General features: G+C 40.4%; 1 protein-coding gene across 10 annotated transcripts in view; it reads left to right on the top strand.

Annotated features, from left to right (window-relative positions):
• ABCA9 (ATP binding cassette subfamily A member 9) overlaps positions 1-15928 on the top strand; it is a 104490-nt gene extending 88562 nt beyond the window's left edge. For 7 of the 10 annotated variants that reach the window (XM_017024013.2, XM_047435107.1, XM_024450529.2 and 4 more), the window contains 11 exons: positions 486-603; positions 1298-1389; positions 4092-4252; positions 5288-5363; positions 5437-5531; positions 6241-6360; positions 6567-6707; positions 7775-7854; positions 14226-14281; positions 14403-14465; positions 15012-15175. In XM_017024013.2, the coding sequence (XP_016879502.1) occupies positions 486-603; positions 1298-1389; positions 4092-4252; positions 5288-5363; positions 5437-5531; positions 6241-6360; positions 6567-6707; positions 7775-7854; positions 14226-14281; positions 14403-14465; positions 15012-15053 (1044 nt within the window). In that variant the 3' untranslated portion in view covers positions 15054-15175. Of the gene's footprint in view, positions 1-485; positions 604-1297; positions 1390-4091; positions 4253-5287; positions 5364-5436; positions 5532-6240; positions 6361-6566; positions 6708-7774; positions 7855-14225; positions 14282-14402 lie in introns of those variants that run through there. The other 3 variants (XM_017024011.2, NM_080283.4, XR_007065256.1) reach the window with 2 other exon arrangements.
• The last annotated feature ends 2670 nt before the right edge of the window (positions 15929-18598 follow it).

Raw genomic sequence — 18598 nt, 5'->3', positions numbered from 1 at the left:
AGCAAGATTCTGTCTCAAGAAACACATGCATGTGCATACACACACACAGATATTGACTTGTATTGATTTATTTTTCAGGGTTGTGGTTTTGATAAGTACAGCTAAACATTACAAAACTTAAGTAAGATTTTGTGTTTTATAACCAAAGTGAAGCTTACTGCAAGTCACTGAGAGAGAGCTTGTCTGCGGTGCGTGTGTGTTTGTGTGCATGATTGTTTATGGGAGTGTGTGTCTTATCAAATCTGTTGGTTCAGTGACTGTCTCTATTCCTGCTCTCCAAAGAACAAATCCCAGGATATGGTGCAAATGCCCTTTCCTTGCAGGAATGTAGACTGTAAGAGTTCACTTGAAAATGGCAGTTTCTAGGGGAAGAAGTGGTTTGATTCATGATTTTTTATAAGGAAAGGTTTGGTGACAAGAGTGTGGAACACCCTCTCAGTTCAAGATGCGAATAAAGTCCCGTTGTTATTTACTTGTCTTTACAGACACCCGTCATCATTGCCAGCTGTCTACGGAAGGAATATGCAGGCAAAAAGAAAAATTGCTTTTCTAAAAGGAAGAAAAAAATTGCCACAAGAAATGTCTCTTTTTGTGTTAAAAAAGGTTGGAAACAGTAGTTCCATTAGTAGAGCAATCTTGAATCTGAAGACTGGATTATTCAGGGAATAAGAGTATCTGAATCTGGGGACATCTATTGACAAACGCAGCAGGCTAAGCCTGCTCCTCCTGCTTAAAAGCCTCAGTTGAAATGATAACGACCTTTTTTTCTTTACATAGGAAGACAGTTATGTCTGTTCTGTAACACAAACAAACAGAACAACAACAATGAAAAGAGGCGGTCTTTCTGTTAAGAAGGATGGTATAGTTTTTAGGTAACAATGTTATTGCAGCGAATACTACACAGAAGGGAGCCAATGGAGGCATAACAGTGCTTTCTCCATTCCCCCAAAACAGCCCATTTCGTGAAAGTGGGGGGTTCGTACAACAGGCTTTGAAATCAAAATATGTTACAACTTCCAGCTCAGCCTCTTACTGTCTGTATGACATGGGGCAACTTATTTATCCTCTTTAAGTCTTAGCTTCCTCACCTGTAAAATGAAGCTAGTTATAATGCTCAGGGGTGTGTGTGTGTGTGTGTGTGTGTGTGTGTGTGTGTGTGAGAGAGAGAGAGAGGAATAAGGGAAATAATATATATAGCACATTTCACATAGCACTTGACACACAGCCCTCAAATGGTATTTGCTTTTATTTTTGTTGCAATTATTTGTATATTTCTGAGCATACCACTTTCTTTCAGGTGAAGTTATAGGACTGTTAGGACACAATGGAGCTGGTAAAAGTACAACTATTAAGATGATAACTGGAGACACAAAACCAACTGCAGGACAGGTCAGTAAAACGTACAGGAATATGGTCATTAGTGCTACCTACAAAGAATATTGATGGCAATAATAGACTATGTAGTTGATCCATAATCACTTAGTGTGATTTATGCATTGAATAAAGAAGATTGATTAAAAATTTATATACTTAATTCCAAAAACAGTTTGTTTCTGAGAAGGGCTACATATCATATATACTATGCCTTTTATTGAGTGAAAAATAAAGATTTTAAAAGGAAATATATCTTCCTTAAAGTCAGATATCTTTGCTTTATTGATTTATGCATCCCATGAACTTTGTCGAATTTAATGCCCTCACCCAGCATGACACCAGAAACCACTGTCAGAATAATGACAACTCCTGCCTATGTGGTTGCAGAGCCATGAGTCTTCATATTTAATGACTGTCCTCTAGCTATATGCTATAATTAAAGATTATGTGTGACTTGTGTAACAATAAGAGTCCATTAGCGAGTAAAACCTCATAGGTCTTTAAGAAGGTATATACCACAGAAACTTTCCTACAATTATTGAAACATTTCTTGGCCCTGATGATGTAATGTAGTGATAGAGCAGTTGAGGGTATTATTGCAGATACACTGAAATTCTTGAAGGACAATGGTGATTCTGGGCTAATGGTAAAAGATCCAGGATTTAAGACAAGAGAAATCAGATTTAATGAAAAAAAAATGGATAATTATCTAAATTGCAAAACAAAAGCTAGAATAATATATGAGTACCATTTAGTGGTATGTCTAGGCCAAGTTTGGGTAAAATGATGGACAGAAGCCAAAGGACCACAACTTCCAAGAGGAAATGCTATTGACCTTGAACATGAGCTCAATGTCAGAGGGAGTGTTTATGAAGGAAGGTCGCACAGTGGCGTTCAATGCTACAGAGGTTTCCTGTCCTTCCATTTCCACTCTTGCCTCACACTGCAGCAAGAACAGTCCTTAAAAATGCAAATGAGGTCCGGGCACGGTGGCTCCTGCCTGTAATCCCAGAACTTTGGGAGGCTGAGGCAGGCAGATCACCTGAGGTCAGGAGTTAGAGACCAATCTGACCAACATGGAGAAGCACCATCTCTACCAAAAATACAAAATTAGCCAGGCGTGGTGGTGAATGCCTGTAATTCCAGCTCCTCGGGAGACTGAGGCAGGAGAATTGCTTGAACCCGGCCGGGAGGCCAAGGTTGCGGTGAGCTGAGATAGCGCTATTGCACTCCAGCCTGGGCAACAATAGAGAAACTCCATCTCAAACAAAAAAACAAACAAACAAACAAACAAACAAAAAAAAACGCAAATGAGGTCATGTCAATCTCCCATGTACAACCTCTCACTTAGAATTGATCCAAAATCTTTACCATGGCTGCAACCAGCCCAGCATGATGTGGTCTGTTGACCGCCTGCTCACATTGGCCTTGAGGCACCTTCTCGCTGTGGGATCTTTGGGTTTGATCTTCCTGTGGCTAGAGTGCCCTTCTGTTGGCTCCTCATGTGCTTGGCTGTCTCCTTCTCATCGCTTAAAAATTTATCTCCCCAAAATGCCTTTTCCTAACTACACTGTCAGCTAAATTAAATCCTCCCTGTTATTCTTTAGCATATCTATTTCCTTGAAAGCACAAGGCAGAGGTTATAAATTGTTCACTTACGTGTTTACTTACTACTTATATTTTATGTTTCTTTCTCCAAAATGAAAGCTCAATGAGGCAAGGTTAACTAGCTCTCTCCTTTGTACTGGGGGGAGACAATATAGCATCAAGGTCAAGGACTTGGATTCTGAAGGTGGATCCCAGCTTCAAGTCCGAGATTTACCTTGTTGTGACCTTGTACAAGTTTCATAATCCATGCTTGTGATAATTTTCTGTATGTAAAACATCAATGATAAAACAAACACCTAACACATACAGGGGTTCTGTAAGGATAGGATAATGTAATTAAAAATATATTATATGCTTAGATTCTGGCACATAGGAAGCACTGAGGACACATTAGATGTTCTTATTATTGTAAAGCATAGCCTGGCTAATAAAAATAATAAATGCTATCATGTGTATATTGGTTCCTACGGGCTAGATACAGTGCTAAAAGTTTTTTGTTTATTTCTTAGTTCAGAATTTCTCAACCTCGATATTATGGACTTGATAATGTCATTTTGCTGTGGGGAGCTGTTCTGTGCATAGTAGGATGTTTGGCAGCACCCTTGGCCCCTACTTACTAGATGCCAGTAATACTGTTTTCCCAATGCATACACACATGAATTGTGACAACCAAATGTGTCTCCAGACATTGTTAAATATCCCCTAGGAGGAGGATTCCCCTGGCTGAGAACCACTGCCTTATTGCAAGATAAATCCTATAATTATAACTATCACTGGCGAAACAGAATTCTCAACAAGTATCTATTCCTTTGAATGTTTGGATCAATGAATGAAGCCAAGTAAAAGACACTCAAATCAGCAATCTTGAGTTCAATCACGGTCATGGAATTGGTAGTAAAGTCTACACTACAATGGATAACCATGGAATGTCTGCCTTTTAAAGTGGGCTTTTACCACCTTTTCCCCAAAGTTAAGTGATTACTGATTTGCATTTGTGCACTTAGCACCTGTGTGTGTGAAGAGAAGGGCATCTCTGAAGTACGGCTTACATGCATATACATATACGTGACATTTGGGATAGAATCTAAGAATGAACTTATTTTGCATAGGTGATTTTGAAAGGGAGCGGTGGAGGGGAACCCCTGGGCTTCCTGGGGTACTGCCCTCAGGAGAATGCGCTGTGGCCCAACCTGACAGTGAGGCAGCACCTGGAGGTGTACGCTGCCGTGAAAGGTCTCAGGAAAGGGGACGCAATGATCGCCATCACACGGTACCTGGGACTGGGGGGCACTCCCCTTTGCTGGAGGGGATGTTGTATTAATAACATACACACAAAATGAAGACAGGGAGGTTGTAATTGATGACCCCATGCTTGTGGGAGAAGATTTGGTCATCTAGAACTCTGTTCAGTGTTGTTTTCTCTCACTTTGAGCCTGGAGAGAAAAATGTTTATTGATTTCTTTTTCTTTTTCTTTTTTCCTTTTTTTTTCTTTTGAGACGGAGTTTGGCTCTGCCGCCCAGGCTGGAGTGCTCAGTGCAACCTCCGCCTCTTGGGTTCAAGCGATTCTTGTGCCTCAGCCTCCCTAGTAGCTGGGATTACAGGCACCCGCCATCATGCCGGGCTAACTTTTTGTATTTTTGTAGAGACGGGGTTTCAACATATTGGCCAGGCTGGTCTTTCAAGACCCTCAGGTGATCTGCCCACCTTGGCCTCCCAAAATGCTGGGATTACAGGTGTGAGCCACCTGGGATTACAGGTGTGAGCCACTGCACCCAGACTGATTATTCTTGGTTTTTGTTTGTTTTGTTTTTTGAGACGGAGTCTTGCTCTGTCATCAGGCTGGAGTGCAGTGGTGCGATCTCAGCTCACTGCAACCTCCACCTCCCAGGTTCAAGCGATTCTCCTGCCTCAGCCTCCTGAGTAGCTGGGACTACAGGTGCACGCCACCATGCCCAGCTAATTTTTGTAATTTTAGTAGAGACAGGATTTCACCATGTTGGCCAGGATGGTCTCAATCTCTTGACCTCGTGGTCCACCTGCCTCAGCCTCCCAAAGTGCTGGGATTACAGGCATGAGCCACTGTGCCCGGTCCAGCCTGATTATTCTTAATATGGAAAGACATCATTGAAAATATGAGTTTGATGACTATGAAAGGTTCATAAAGTACCTAGGTGGTTTAAATTTTATGACCACTCTGACCACTCATAAACACCTCCCCCACCGTCGTGTTTCTCCTGATTTGCTCATTCTCCCATGTACATTCGCCAGTGTTGGGATTATGTGGATTGACTCTGTTTTCTTCAGGTTAGTGGATGCGCTCAAGCTGCAGGACCAGCTGAAGGCTCCCGTGAAGACCTTGTCAGAGGGAATAAAGCGAAAGGTACGGGCAGGGCTTGTTGTTGCTCTGCAAGTGCCGTAGATGGGAACCAGAGGGGCTGTTCCTCCCGTTGCAGCTGTGCTTTGTGCTGAGCATCCTGGGGAACCCGTCAGTGGTGCTTCTGGATGAGCCGTCGACCGGGATGGACCCCGAGGGGCAGCAGCAAATGTGGTGAGGTGCTATCATGAGCAACCTCTGCATGAGTGTATTGATCCTGTGAAAACTGGCCTGCAAAATCATTGTTTACTTAGAAAGGAAAAGACACAGTATCAGGAAAAGCAATATTTTAGGAAAAAAAATTATCTGATTTCAAATCACAACCAGCTTTTATTGAGAAGAAAAAGCTATATTATCTCACCCTAATATTTGCTCGAATAATTTTTGTGTCTGTGCCTACATGGAACATTTTTATACAGCCAAATCAATCTATAATGAAGCTTTAAATCTTTCTGCAACATCACCTGATATACAATTCCTATGGAGGAAAAAAAGAAACATTCCAAATCTTCAATATATTTTAAAATTATTTTTGGGAAGTTTCTGAATTCTGTCATCTTGTACCTATAGGGAGTATGTCATGATTATCAAGCTTTTTAGTAAATTCTCCTAATTTTCTTTGTTCCTACTGCATTCTCATAAATATTTCTGAACTTAGTATTTTTATAAACAGCATCTTACCCAATATCATTTTCTACGTTCTGAATTATATACTCTATCCAATAGTTTGGTTTCCGTGCCTGTCATCCCTACACACACCCCTTTTTTGTCTAGTCTGAATTCGCTGCATGTTTCATCTTTGCGTCGATGGAAACTTCTTTTTAAAATTCCAAATACCTTGAGCATTCCCATGAGTTCACGTTTTCTCTTGACTTAACTTTAGGCAGGTGATTCGGGCCACCTTTAGAAACACGGAGAGGGGCGCCCTCCTGACCACCCACTACATGGCAGAGGCTGAGGCGGTGTGTGACCGAGTGGCCATCATGGTGTCAGGAAGGCTGAGGTGAGTGCCTGTCCAAGCCGGCGCTCAGCCCCTAGGTTGTGTGCTGTGAGCAAAGTTTATTTCCCTGCACCAGGCTACCCATCGTGAGGAGCTAGCATGGTTGCTTCCAACTCTATGTGGCCTTACTCTGGCCTCCAGAGGCTGAACATCACAAGCCATACATTTTTCTCTTTTCTTGCTTGACTTTATCCTTCTGTTACCTTCAGATGTATTGGTTCCATCCAACACCTGAAAAGCAAATTTGGCAAAGACTACCTGCTGGAGATGAAGCTGAAGAACCTGGCACAAATGGAGCCCCTCCATGCAGAGATCCTGAGGCTTTTCCCCCAGGCTGCTCAGCAGGAAAGGTAGACACAGGTGTTTTGTTTTATCACAGTCCTTGGTTTTTGTTTCCATATTTCTGCTATGATGACGGAATAAGAGCTTTATCTTCTCGTTCTTTAACTCTATGGTAATTGCAAGTACTTTACTTAAGAGAAATTCAATTCCAAGGGCTCACACAAGAGGGAAATAAGAGAACAAAGTGCTGATTTGAAAGCTGACCCTTGTAAGAGAATCAGCATGCATGGGGGCTCTAACATGCCAAATACTGATGCATGCATGCACTTAGGTCATCTCAGGGGTTCCTTCTAGAGGGTAAAACCATCCCTCATTAAAGGAAATCACCTGCATAAAGCCCATGCCAGAGTGCCAGGCATCAGTCAAAGCTCAGTGAATGGTGTCTCTTAACATTTCTATATATTATTATCAGTGAAATCAACTGAGGCTCAGAGTGTGGAGACAGGAGTAGAATCTAGTTCTTTTTACTGAAATGCTACTCTCTTCTCACTAAGAAGAAGGATAAGAAGTTCTGCTTCTTCCCTTCATAAGGCATAGGGGCTGTTAATTTCCTTCCCTTTGTCTTTCATTCCTCCTCTTAGTAGATTGACTTCTTGTTGATCAAAGAGCACTTACATTATGAGTGTCTCTCTAACACCGCACAGATGTGACTATTTAGACAGATTGTTGACGATATTGTTGCTCCTTTTCATTTTTTTATTTTCATTTTTTGAGACAGGATCTCACTCTGTCGCCCAGTCTACAGTGCAGTGGTGCAATCACCGCTCACTGCAGCCTCAATCCCATGGGCTCAAGTGGTCCTCCTGCCTCAGCCTCCATGGTAGCTGGGAATACAGGCACACACCACCATTCCTGGCTAATTTTTAAGTTTTTTTGTGGAGATGGGATCTCCATCTGTTTCCCAGACTGGTCTCAAACTCATAGGCTCAAGCAATCTTCCCTTCTTGGCCTCCCAAATTGCAGTGGTTACAGGCATGGGCCACCATGCCTAGCCTTGTTTCCCTTTTTAGACTTGTACCCATCGGGGTTTCAACCTTGACACCTGGAGTTCAGCCTCACTGTCTTCTCTTCGCAGGTTCTCCTCCCTGATGGTCTATAAGTTGCCTGTTGAGGATGTGCGACCTTTATCACAGGCTTTCTTCAAATTAGAGATAGGTAAGAGTGACTGTTTAGAGACAAAACTCTGGGAAACAGATAAGCCTAAATCTGACATAGAACCAGTATTTTAAAAATACATAAACATAGAATTATGCTGTTATATCATTAATACATTACTAAGACTGCTAATCCAGTGTTTTTCCATAAGGGGTGATTTGGCAATGTCTGGGAAGATTTGGGGTTCTTACAAGTGCGGACAGAGAGGTTGGATGCAAGTGGTTTCTAGTGGGTGGAGGCCAGGGATGATGCTAACTACCCTACAGTGCATTGGTCAGCCATCACAGGAAAGAGTGATCAGTCAAAACGTCATTAGTGCTGGGGCCAAGGTACCCTACTGTAATTGAACAAGGCTCTGGGAGAAAGAGACCATGTACATTCAGCGGTAGATTATCCACAAACTCATACAAACAGAAACATATGAATTTGGTTTTTGCCTCTATGTATTGTTTTATAGCCATCTATTGATAGATGCAGATAAGGAGGTTCCTGTCTCTGTTTAGGTGTGTTAATCTGTAAGTCATTTTAGGCCCTTGGATTTTGGTCTTTGCATACTGCATCAATGTATCAGGGGCTTGGTTTTTCCCTGTCATGTTAGTGTATGAAATCTGATGAGTTAGTGTATGAAACCTCATGCCCCTTCTTGAGCTGTACTTTCTGGCTTGTTACCTGCCTTCATCAGAGGCCTCAAGCATCCTAGCTTTTTTTTTTTTTTTTTTTTTTTTTGAGAAAGAGTTTTCCTTTGTCGCCAGGCTGGCAGGCTGGAGTGGTGCAGTGGCACAATCTCGGCTCACTGCACCTCTGCCTCCTGGGTTCAAGCAATTCTCCTGCCTCAGCCTCCCGAGTAGCACACACCAGCACACCCAGCTAATTTTTGTATTTTTAGTAGAGACAGAGTTTCAACATGTTGGCCAGGATGGTCATCCTAGCTTTTAATGAGATTCTTCTTGAGACAGGGTTAGGATCACCCAAATAGGTTTTTGTTTCACTTTCTCATCCTGTTGGTCAACCTCACCCTGTGGTCTATGTGGCCGTTTTTCACATTGACCACACTGACCATTATGCCCCAATGGCTGGTTGGCATCTTTCCAGTTGGAAGGATTCCGCAGTGAGATCAACAGGAAGTATTTTATAATGGATTAGGAGCAGAGATTGATGTTTCAGGAAGGCTGCCTCCCTAGAGGCTTTTTAAAAAAGGCTGCTCATGTTTCTGCTTTCTTTTTTCTTTTTTTTTTCACATCACATACTTAACATTTATTTGTGCTGAGAATATTTTAGATTTACCCACTTAGCAAGTTTCAAGTATACAATAAATTATTATTAACTACAGTCATCATGTTATACAGTCAATAAATCTGAATTTATTTATCCTGTCTGACTGAAACATCGTACCCTTTAACCAATATTGCTCTATCCTCCCTACCCTCTATTGTTGCCTTCCCTTCCCTCCACCCACCCCTGGCCATCTCTTGGCAACCATCATTCCACTCTCTACTTCTGAGTTTGACTTATTTAGGTTCTACATATAAGTGGGGTTATGCACTATTTGTGTGGCTGTGCCTGGCTTATTTCACTTAGCAAAATGTCCTCTAGATTCATCCACAACACGATTTCCTTCCTTTTTTTTTTTTTTAGTTTTTTTATATTATTATACTTCAAGTTTTAAGGTACATGTGCACAACGTGCAGGTTAGTTACATATGTATATATGTGCCATGTTGGTGTGCTGCACCCAGTAACTCGTCATTTAACATTAGGTATATCTCCTAATTCTATCCCTCTCCCCTCCCCCCACCCCACAACAGGCCTTGGTGTGTGATGTTCCCCTTCCTGTGTCCATGGGTTCTCATTGTTCAATTCTCACCTATGAGTGAGAACATGCTGAGTGAGTTTGCTGAGAATGATGGTTTCCAGCTTCATCCATGTCCCTACAAAGGACATGAACTCATCATTTTTATGGCTGCATAGTATTCCATGGTGTATATGTGCCACATTTTCTTAATCCAGTCTATCATTGTTGGACATGTGGGTTGGTTCCAAGTCTTTGCTATTGTGAATAGTGCCGCAATAAACATACGTGTGCATGTGTCTTTATAGCAGCATGATTTATAATCCTTTGGGTATATACCCAGTAATGAGATTGCTGGGTCAAATGGTATTTCTACGTCAAGATCACTGAGGAATCACCACACTGACTCTCACAATGGTTGAACTAGTTTACAGTCCCACCAACAGTGTAAAAGTATTCCTGTTTCTCCACATCCTCTCCAGCACCTGTTGTTTCCTGACTTTTTAATGATCGCCATTCTAACTGGTGTGAGATGGTATCTCATTGTGGTTTTGATTTGCATTTCTCTGATGGCCAGTGATGATGAGCATTTTTTCATGTGTCTTTTGGCTGCATAAATGTCTTCTTTTGAGAAGTGTCTGTTCATATCCTTTGTCCACTTTTTGATGGGGCTGTTTGTTTTTTTCTTGTAAATTTGTTTGAGTTCATTGTAGATTCTGGATATTAGTCCTTTGTCAGATGAGTAGATTGCAAAAATTTTCTCCCATTCTGTAGGTTGCCTGTTCACTCTGATGGTAGTTTCTTTTGCTGTGCAGAAGCTCTTTAGTTTAATTAGATCTCATTTGTCAATTTTGTCTTTTGTTGCCATTGCTTTTGGTGTTTTAGACCTGAAGTCCTTGCCCCTGCCTGTGTCCTAAATGGTACTGCCTAGGTTTTCTTCTAGGGTTTTTATGGTTTTAGGTCTAACATTTAAGTCTTTAATCCATCTTGAATTAATTTTTGTATAAGGTGTAAGGAAGGGATCCAGTTTCAGCTTTCTACATATGGCTAGCTAGTTTTCCCAGCACCATTTATTAAATAAGGAATCATTTCCCCATTTCTTGTTTTTGTCAGGTTTCTCAAAGATCAGATAGTTGTAGATATGTGGCATTATTTCTGAGGGCTCTGTTCTGTTCCATTGATCTATATCTCTGTTTTGGTACCAGTACCATTCTGTTTTGGTTACTGTAGCCTTGTGGTATAGTTTGAAGTCAGGTAGCATGATGCCTCCAGTTTTGTTCTTTTGGACTAGGATTGACTTGGCAATGCAGGCTCTTTTTTGGTTCCATATGAACTTTAAAGTAGTTTTTTCTAATTCTGTGAAGAAAGTCATTGGTAGCTTGATGGGGATGGCATTGAATCTATAAATTACCTTGGGCAGTATGGTCATTTTCACGTTGTTGATTCTTCCTACCCATGAGCATGGAACGTTCTTCCATTTGTTTGTATCCTCTTTTATTTCCTTGAGCAGTGGTTTGTAGTTCTCCTTGAAGAGGTCCTTCACATCCCTTGTAAGTTGGATTCCTAGGTATTTTATTCTATTTGAAGCAATTGTGAATGGGAGTTCACTCATGATTTGGCTGTTTGTCTGTTATTGGTGTATAAGAATGCTTGTGACTTTTGCACATTGATTTTGTATCCTGAGACTTTGCTGAAGTTGCCTATCAGCTTAAGGAGATTTTGGGCTGAGACGATGGGGTTTTCTAGATATACAATCATGTCATCTGCAAACAGGGACAATTTGACTTCCTCTTTTCCTAATTGAATACCCTTTATTTCCTTCTCCTGCCTGATTGCCCTGGCCAGAACTTCCAACAGTATGTTGAATAGGAGTGGTGAGAGAGGGCATCCCTGTCTTGTGCCAGTTTTCAAAGGGAATGCTTCCAGTTTTTGCCCATTCAGTATGATATTGGCTGTGGGTTTGTCATAGATAGCTCTTATTATTTTGAGATATGTCCCATCAATACCTAATTTATTGAGAGAATTTCATATTCAGCCAAACTAAGCTTCATAAGTGAAGGAGAAATAAAGTCCTTTACAGACAAGCAAATGCTGAGAGATTTTGTCACCATCAGGCCTGCCCTAAAAGAGCTCCTGAAGGAAGCACTAAACATGGAAAGGAACAACCGGTACCAGCCACTGCAAAAACATGCCTAATTGTAAAGACCATTGAGGCTAGGAAGAAACTGCATCAACTAACGAGAAAATAACCAGCTAACATCCTAATGACAGGATCAAATTCACATATAACAATATTAACCTTAAATGTAAATGGGCTAAATGCTCCAATTAAAAGACACAGACTGGCAAATTAGATAAAGAATCAAGACCCATCAGTGTGCTGTATTCAGGAAACCCATCTCACATGCAGAGACACACATAGGCTCAAAATAAAGGGATGGAGGAAGATCTACCAAGCAAATGGAAAACAAAAAAAAGGCAGGGGTTGCAATCCTAGTCTCTGATAAAACAGACTTTAAACCAACAAAGATCAAAAGAGACAAAGAAGGCCATTACATAATGGTAAAGGGATCAATTCAACAAGAAGAGCTAACTTTCCTAAATATATGTGCACCCAATACAGGAGCACCCAGATTCATAAAGCAAGTCCTTAGAGACCTAGAAAGAGACTTAGACTCCCACACAATAATAATGGCAGACTTTAACACCCCACTGTCAACATTAGACAGATCGAGACAGAAAGTTAACAAGAATATCCAGGAATTGAATTCAGCTCTGCACCAAGCAGACCTAATAGACATCTACAGAACTCTCCACCCCAAATCAACATGCTTCTGCTTTCAAAAGCATTCCCTCCCACCTCAAATTCCTCCTGCAGTACTTAATTTGCTAAAAGTGAAGTTCTCATTTAGGGGGAAAAACAAAGTATTTATCAGAGTTTCTTGCTCCAATATGTGAAGACGACACAAAGTACAAAATGTGGAGATGTAAGCTAGCATTTTTTCCTCCAAATGTTCTTGGACACTGTTACATTCTCAGGTGCAATACACTTATTGAATGGGCTAGGCACGGTGTCGTCCAAGCCAAATGCCTGCTCCATGGCAATCCTTTTACCTTGTTGCATAGTTTCATTCTTTCCTACCACCAATCTCTGCTGGGTAATGTAAACTCCAGCAAAACCCTAGCCTCACATGCCCCTTCTTGGTCAGACTTGCTTCGAATTTGAAGACCTATAGCTTAGAAGGTGAAATGGTCAATTTTATGTCTTTTCTTTCTCTATTTCCTCCATGACTCATAAACGAATGTTTTGGGCCTCTCCAGGGTGTAGTGTAAGTGGAAAAAAGAAGAGATAATATTGCATCAGAGCTTGATCTGATCATTAGAGCTATGATATCACATTGGGGTCTCCAGTATAGAAATGAAGAATTGCTGGCCCTTTCTTTCATTGGGTACTTTTATGGGTTCCTTGATGACTTTCTTTCCCCCCCTCATCTATTACCTCTGATTACAGCTCCCCGGGGTGGGTGATGCATCCTGCTTTTGGCTCCTGTGACCACCTGGCGGCTCCTGTGACCACCTGGCAGCTCCTGAGTCCCTTCCTTGAAACCCCTTTCCCTTTCCAGGTGATCTTCTCAAGATACCTCCCCTTTGAAATCCATGAGAAACACACAAGCATCTTTGCTTCTCTAAACTCTACAAGTGCAGGGAAGTCAGCCACCCACTGTATTTCTTCTTCACATGTTTCCAGATATAAGATAGGGACTAGTCCTATGTCCAAGGAAAGAAGAAAGAAAATGCCACAGCAGTCTGACACTGTCCAAAAGAAATATTTGCCTTCCAGTCTCATTTTTCCATTCATTATCTTCCTCTTCTTATGTATCTACATGGTTGAGGTCTCAGTCATGGTCCAAATTGGTATCAGATGGTAAACTCAAAATAGGATAATTCAAGGAACGTTTGTTTATCAGAAGACTCTTTGCAAAGGTACATGGAACAGTGTAACTACCTGAGACGAGAAACAATAGAAGTGTTACCATTCTTAGGTCCAGAGGGACTAAGAGAGGAAGCAATGACCTGAACTTGAGGGTAGAGTCATGTAGAACTTACTACCTTGAGAGAAACAAGGCACACACTTGGTGTCAGGGAGGAAGTGAAAGAATAAATGCCTTGACCTCCTGTCTCCCCTGTCCTTCCTAATGGGCTTGCCATTGGTGATGTCCACCAGAAGACATCTGTTACATCAGCCTTTGGAGTAGACAAGAATGAGGGCTGGTACAGAGGGGTACGTGGTCATCGTCTAGCACAGAGGGTACCATCTCTTAGCTTGTTCTGCACAGATGCTCTGGAACCTCTGATATTGCTTTCTAGTTTTGTGGTGCCTCTACCAATACTCTAGATGAAAGGGATGGAGTTTCCTCCTGTTATATGACTATATCGCGTTTGCTTTCCCATATTTAGTCTAAGAATACTTATTACCTTATCTTTTATGTTTAAGATCTACTTGTATGTATTTTGGTTTGTTACTTGGTAAAACTCACTGAAAAAAAAAATAGAATTCCTAATGTATGCTCATTCTTATGCAGTTAAACAGAGTTTCGACCTGGAGGAGTACAGCCTCTCACAGTCTACCCTGGAGCAGGTGGGTCATTTTTAGTGATTCTATATCATCCATGGAATATACATGTATAATGCATTCGCCTGGAGCTGCAGGAGGCAGTATGGCATTGTTCTCCTCTCTTTATTTCTTTCCTTCCTTTTAGGTTTTCCTGGAGCTCTCCAAGGAGCAGGAGCTGGGTGATCTTGAAGAGGACTTTGATCCCTCGGTGAAGTGGAAACTCCTCCTGCAGGAAGAGCCTTAAAGCTCCAAATACCCTATATCTTTCTTTAATCCTGTGACTCTTTTAAAGATAATATTTTATAGCCTTAATATGCCTTATATCAGAGGTGGTACAAAATGCATTTGAAACTCATGCAATAATTATCCTCAGTAGTATTTCTTACAGTGAGACAACAGGCGATGTCAGTGAGGGCGATCATAGGGCATAAGCCTAAGCCATACCATGCAGCCTTTGTGCCAGCAACCAAATCCCATGTTTCCTACTGTGTTAAGTTTAAAAATGCATTTATTATAGAATTGTCTACATTTCTGAGGATGTCATGGAGAATGCTTAATTTTCTTTCTCTGAACTTCAAAATATTAAATATTTTCTTATTTATTTTTTTGATTAAAGTATAAATTAAGACACCCTATTGACTTCCGGGTAAGGGGAGTCAATTGATTACCCAGCAGCACAGTATTTGCTTTTTATAATTCCCTTTTTAAATACTTGTTCTTAATTCACTGGTTTTCCTTTTCTGTCATTTTTCAGAGTTTAGATTGTGAGTCCATGTTTTGTCTGTTGTGCCTATAAAGGAAATTTGAAATCTGTATCATTCTACTATAAAGACACATGCACACGTATGTTTATTGCAGCACTGTTTACAATAGCAAAGACTTGGAACCAACCAAAATACCCACAAATGATAGACCGGATAAAGAAAACGTGACACATATACACCATGGAATACTATGCAGCCATAGAAAAGGATGAGTTCATATTCTTCACAGGGACATGGATGAAGCTGGAAACCATCATCCTCAGCAAACTAACACAGGAACAGAAAACCAAACACCGCATGTTCTCACTCATAAGTGGGAATTGAACAATGAGAATACATGGACACAGGGAGGGGAACACCACACCCTGGGGCCTGTTGGGGGGATGGGGGCTAGGGGAGGGATAGCATTAGGAGAAATACCTGATGTAGATGATGGGTTGATGGGTGCAGCAAAGTACCATGGCACATGTATACCTGTGTAACAAACCTGCACATTCAGCACATGTATCCCAGAACTTAAAGTATAATAAAAATAAATAAATAATTTCAGTAAGAACCTGATCAAGTTGAACATGTATATATATGTTATACACAAGTTTGAAACATATTTCTGTTTTTATATGTTTTCTTATGATGCAAGGGCATACTCTTATGCAAATAATTAAAACTTCATAGGTCTTAATTTCCCATATCTCTATATATTATTATGACCTATCCAACTGGTAACCCTATGAACACCTTAAAATAAACTTGTATACTCTTATTTAGGTGAGTTTTTCTTGTTAATACTATTATTATTGCTATCTAATTGAATACTTGAAGGAAGTTGTGTGAAAGACCTTGGCTTTGATTTTAGTTCTTATATTCTTCTAGTTTTTGAAAATAAAACACTTCCATCAACCCGTAAGAATATTCGTCTGAGACCTTGGGCCAAGGGCCCCAGACTTCTTATTTTTTTTAAAAAAGAGACATTAATACTGATCCTACTGAGTCACTTGACTTTTATAAGTCACAAATGAGTTGATACAAGTCAACCCATTGAAAACTATAGTTCACTTTACGTACATCAGTAATAGAGTAAGTGTTTCTTGCAGTGAGCCAAATTTCCAAAGACTGTGCCATTATCATTGTATATAAGGCCTATGCCTTAAATAAGACTTGATTTTATAAGACTGGGTTCATCCGCACTAATGACACACTCAGACTCAGGACTTCAGTGAAGCAGTTTTCAACAAGAAAGTGTCAATGTGCTATATGTTGGGAGCTGATGAAGAAACACATCATTTCAGTATTCTAAGAGTATGTTCCCAAAGCTAAAAAAAAATGCCAATAATAATCTCAGTGAAAGTGTGTTAAGCAAAGGATTTATATCCAACAGTTCTATAAAAGAAAGTGAAATAGTAAACTTGGAAGCATAATATGATCATGGCAATATTATCATTATTTATTAGACTAAGAATACACATTATAACTAGGTTCTGTACATATATTGATTATTTTATGCAATCTTCATAATAACATTACCAACAAATATTCTTATTTATATTTGGCACTGTGAGAGGCAGAATTTCCAAAATGGCCCAGTAGAGATCTGCCTCCCTAATCTCTGGACCCTAAGAATATGACACAATATTGCTTCATTGTCTCTGTTATATTTCATGACACCTTTGACATTAGGAAAAGAAAGATTATCTGTGTGGGCCTGATCTAATCATCTGATGCCTTAAACGTAGAGAGCTTTCTTAGAATAGTGGCAGAAGGGGAAGTCATAGAGATTTGAAACATGAAGACTTGTTGCTCTGTGTCTGTTTTTGAAGATGGGAGGGTCATGGGGAAGGAAGGTGGGTGTCCTCTACTGTGGTAACTTAAAGAAAACAAACAAAAGAAAAAGAAAACCCTGAACTGCCACAGACCACTGTGAGGTATTAAGATATAGAGATTGTTGAGATTTAGGGGTTGGTTACAACAGATAGTCAGCATTACATCGACTAGTACAGTAGTTCATGCCAAGAAAACAATGAAAGCAAAAACCTAGGGTAAGAATCTCTCAAGCATGCAGGGCACTGATGCAATTGCAATTGAACTGTTCCATGCTTCCTATTGCCATTCCTTACCTGGTGCAGAACTCTGCAAGAGTGATCCTTCCTACTGTCTTCCCACGTGTTTATCTGTGTTGACTCTCTGGCTAGTGGATACTTCCTTCATTCTCAGTGTATTCACATTGCACCAACCTGAAAGTGTCTAGCCAAGCAATAGTAACTTGCCTATTACTAGTGCTAAAATAAATTATCTTCTTGTTTTGATTTACTGAGTTATATTCATGGAAATTGCAAAGCAAAAGAGTGGAAATCTTGTGCTAAAATCACTGTCTTGACCGGGTGCAGTGGCTCACACCTGTAATCCCAGCACTTTGGGAGGCTGAGGCGGGCGGATCACGAGGTCAAGAGATCGAGACCACCCTGTCTCCACTAAAAATACAAAAATTAGCTGGGTGTGGTGGCGCGCACCTGTAGTCCCAGCTACTTGGGAGACTGAGGCAGGAGAATCGCTTGAACCCAGGAGGCGGAGGTTGCAGTGAGCTGAGATCCCACCACTGCACTCCAGCCTGGCGACAGAGTGAGACTCCATCAAAAAGAAAAAAAAAGTCACTGTCTTGAAATGAAACTCTTATCATAAGTTGGTGGAAATATTTTAATGTCTCCTCCAAACCCCTCTTCGGACACAATCCAACCCAAGACACAATGCCTTTGGATGAGTTTATCCTTTAACTTAATATAAAAAAACTAGGAAGGAATATCTCCACTTAGATTAAAAGTTATATTGCATGAATGTTTGGAGTATTTGAAATAGAAGGTAAGAATAACTTATTTTGAAGCCTCAATAAATGAAAATATTACAAGGATTATAAAGAAATAATTTTAATGATACTTAGTTTATTCTTATATGAGATGTGAGTTTCTCAACAGTGGCACGATTGACATTTTGTATTGGAAACTTCTTTGTTGGAGTGGTGGTGGGGGAGGCTGTCCTGTGAATTGTAAAATATTTTGCAGCATCTCTGCTCTCTTATCCACCAGATGGCAGTACCACTCCCCAAGTGTGACAACCCAAAATATTTCCAGAAATTTCCAAAATCTCCCCTAATCCTCTAGATTTATATGTTATTTAAACCAACTGCTCGATAATTTTATCTTTAGTAAAAAAATGAGGAATTCAGAACAGTTGATCTCCTTTATTTAGAAATTTTGGGTTCTGTGCTTAGCACATTCGGCCAACCTGCAAAAATTGTCCTTTGAGAACAAATCTAGTAAATTAGCAATACAAATGTTCAGTAATTAATAGAAATATCTATAGACATTGGAATACATTTTGTTTGACGTTCACGTCCCTTTGAATATTTTCAAGACGGCACGGGCCTCAGTGATGTCACATAATAATCTGTAGATTATTTCTGTGAGGGAAAATAAAGACCTCAACAAACTGTAGTATATACTGAATCAGCAAAACTTCTGACAAAGCAAGTGTGGCAAAGACTGTTGAAAATAAAATGAAGTCTCTCTTTCTGGGGTGGCACCGT

This window comes from Homo sapiens, chromosome 17 (assembly GCF_000001405.40).
Source record: "Homo sapiens chromosome 17, GRCh38.p14 Primary Assembly".
Taxonomy (NCBI): Eukaryota; Metazoa; Chordata; class Mammalia; order Primates; family Hominidae; genus Homo; species Homo sapiens.
This window is presented reverse-complemented; position numbering and strand designations above follow the sequence as displayed.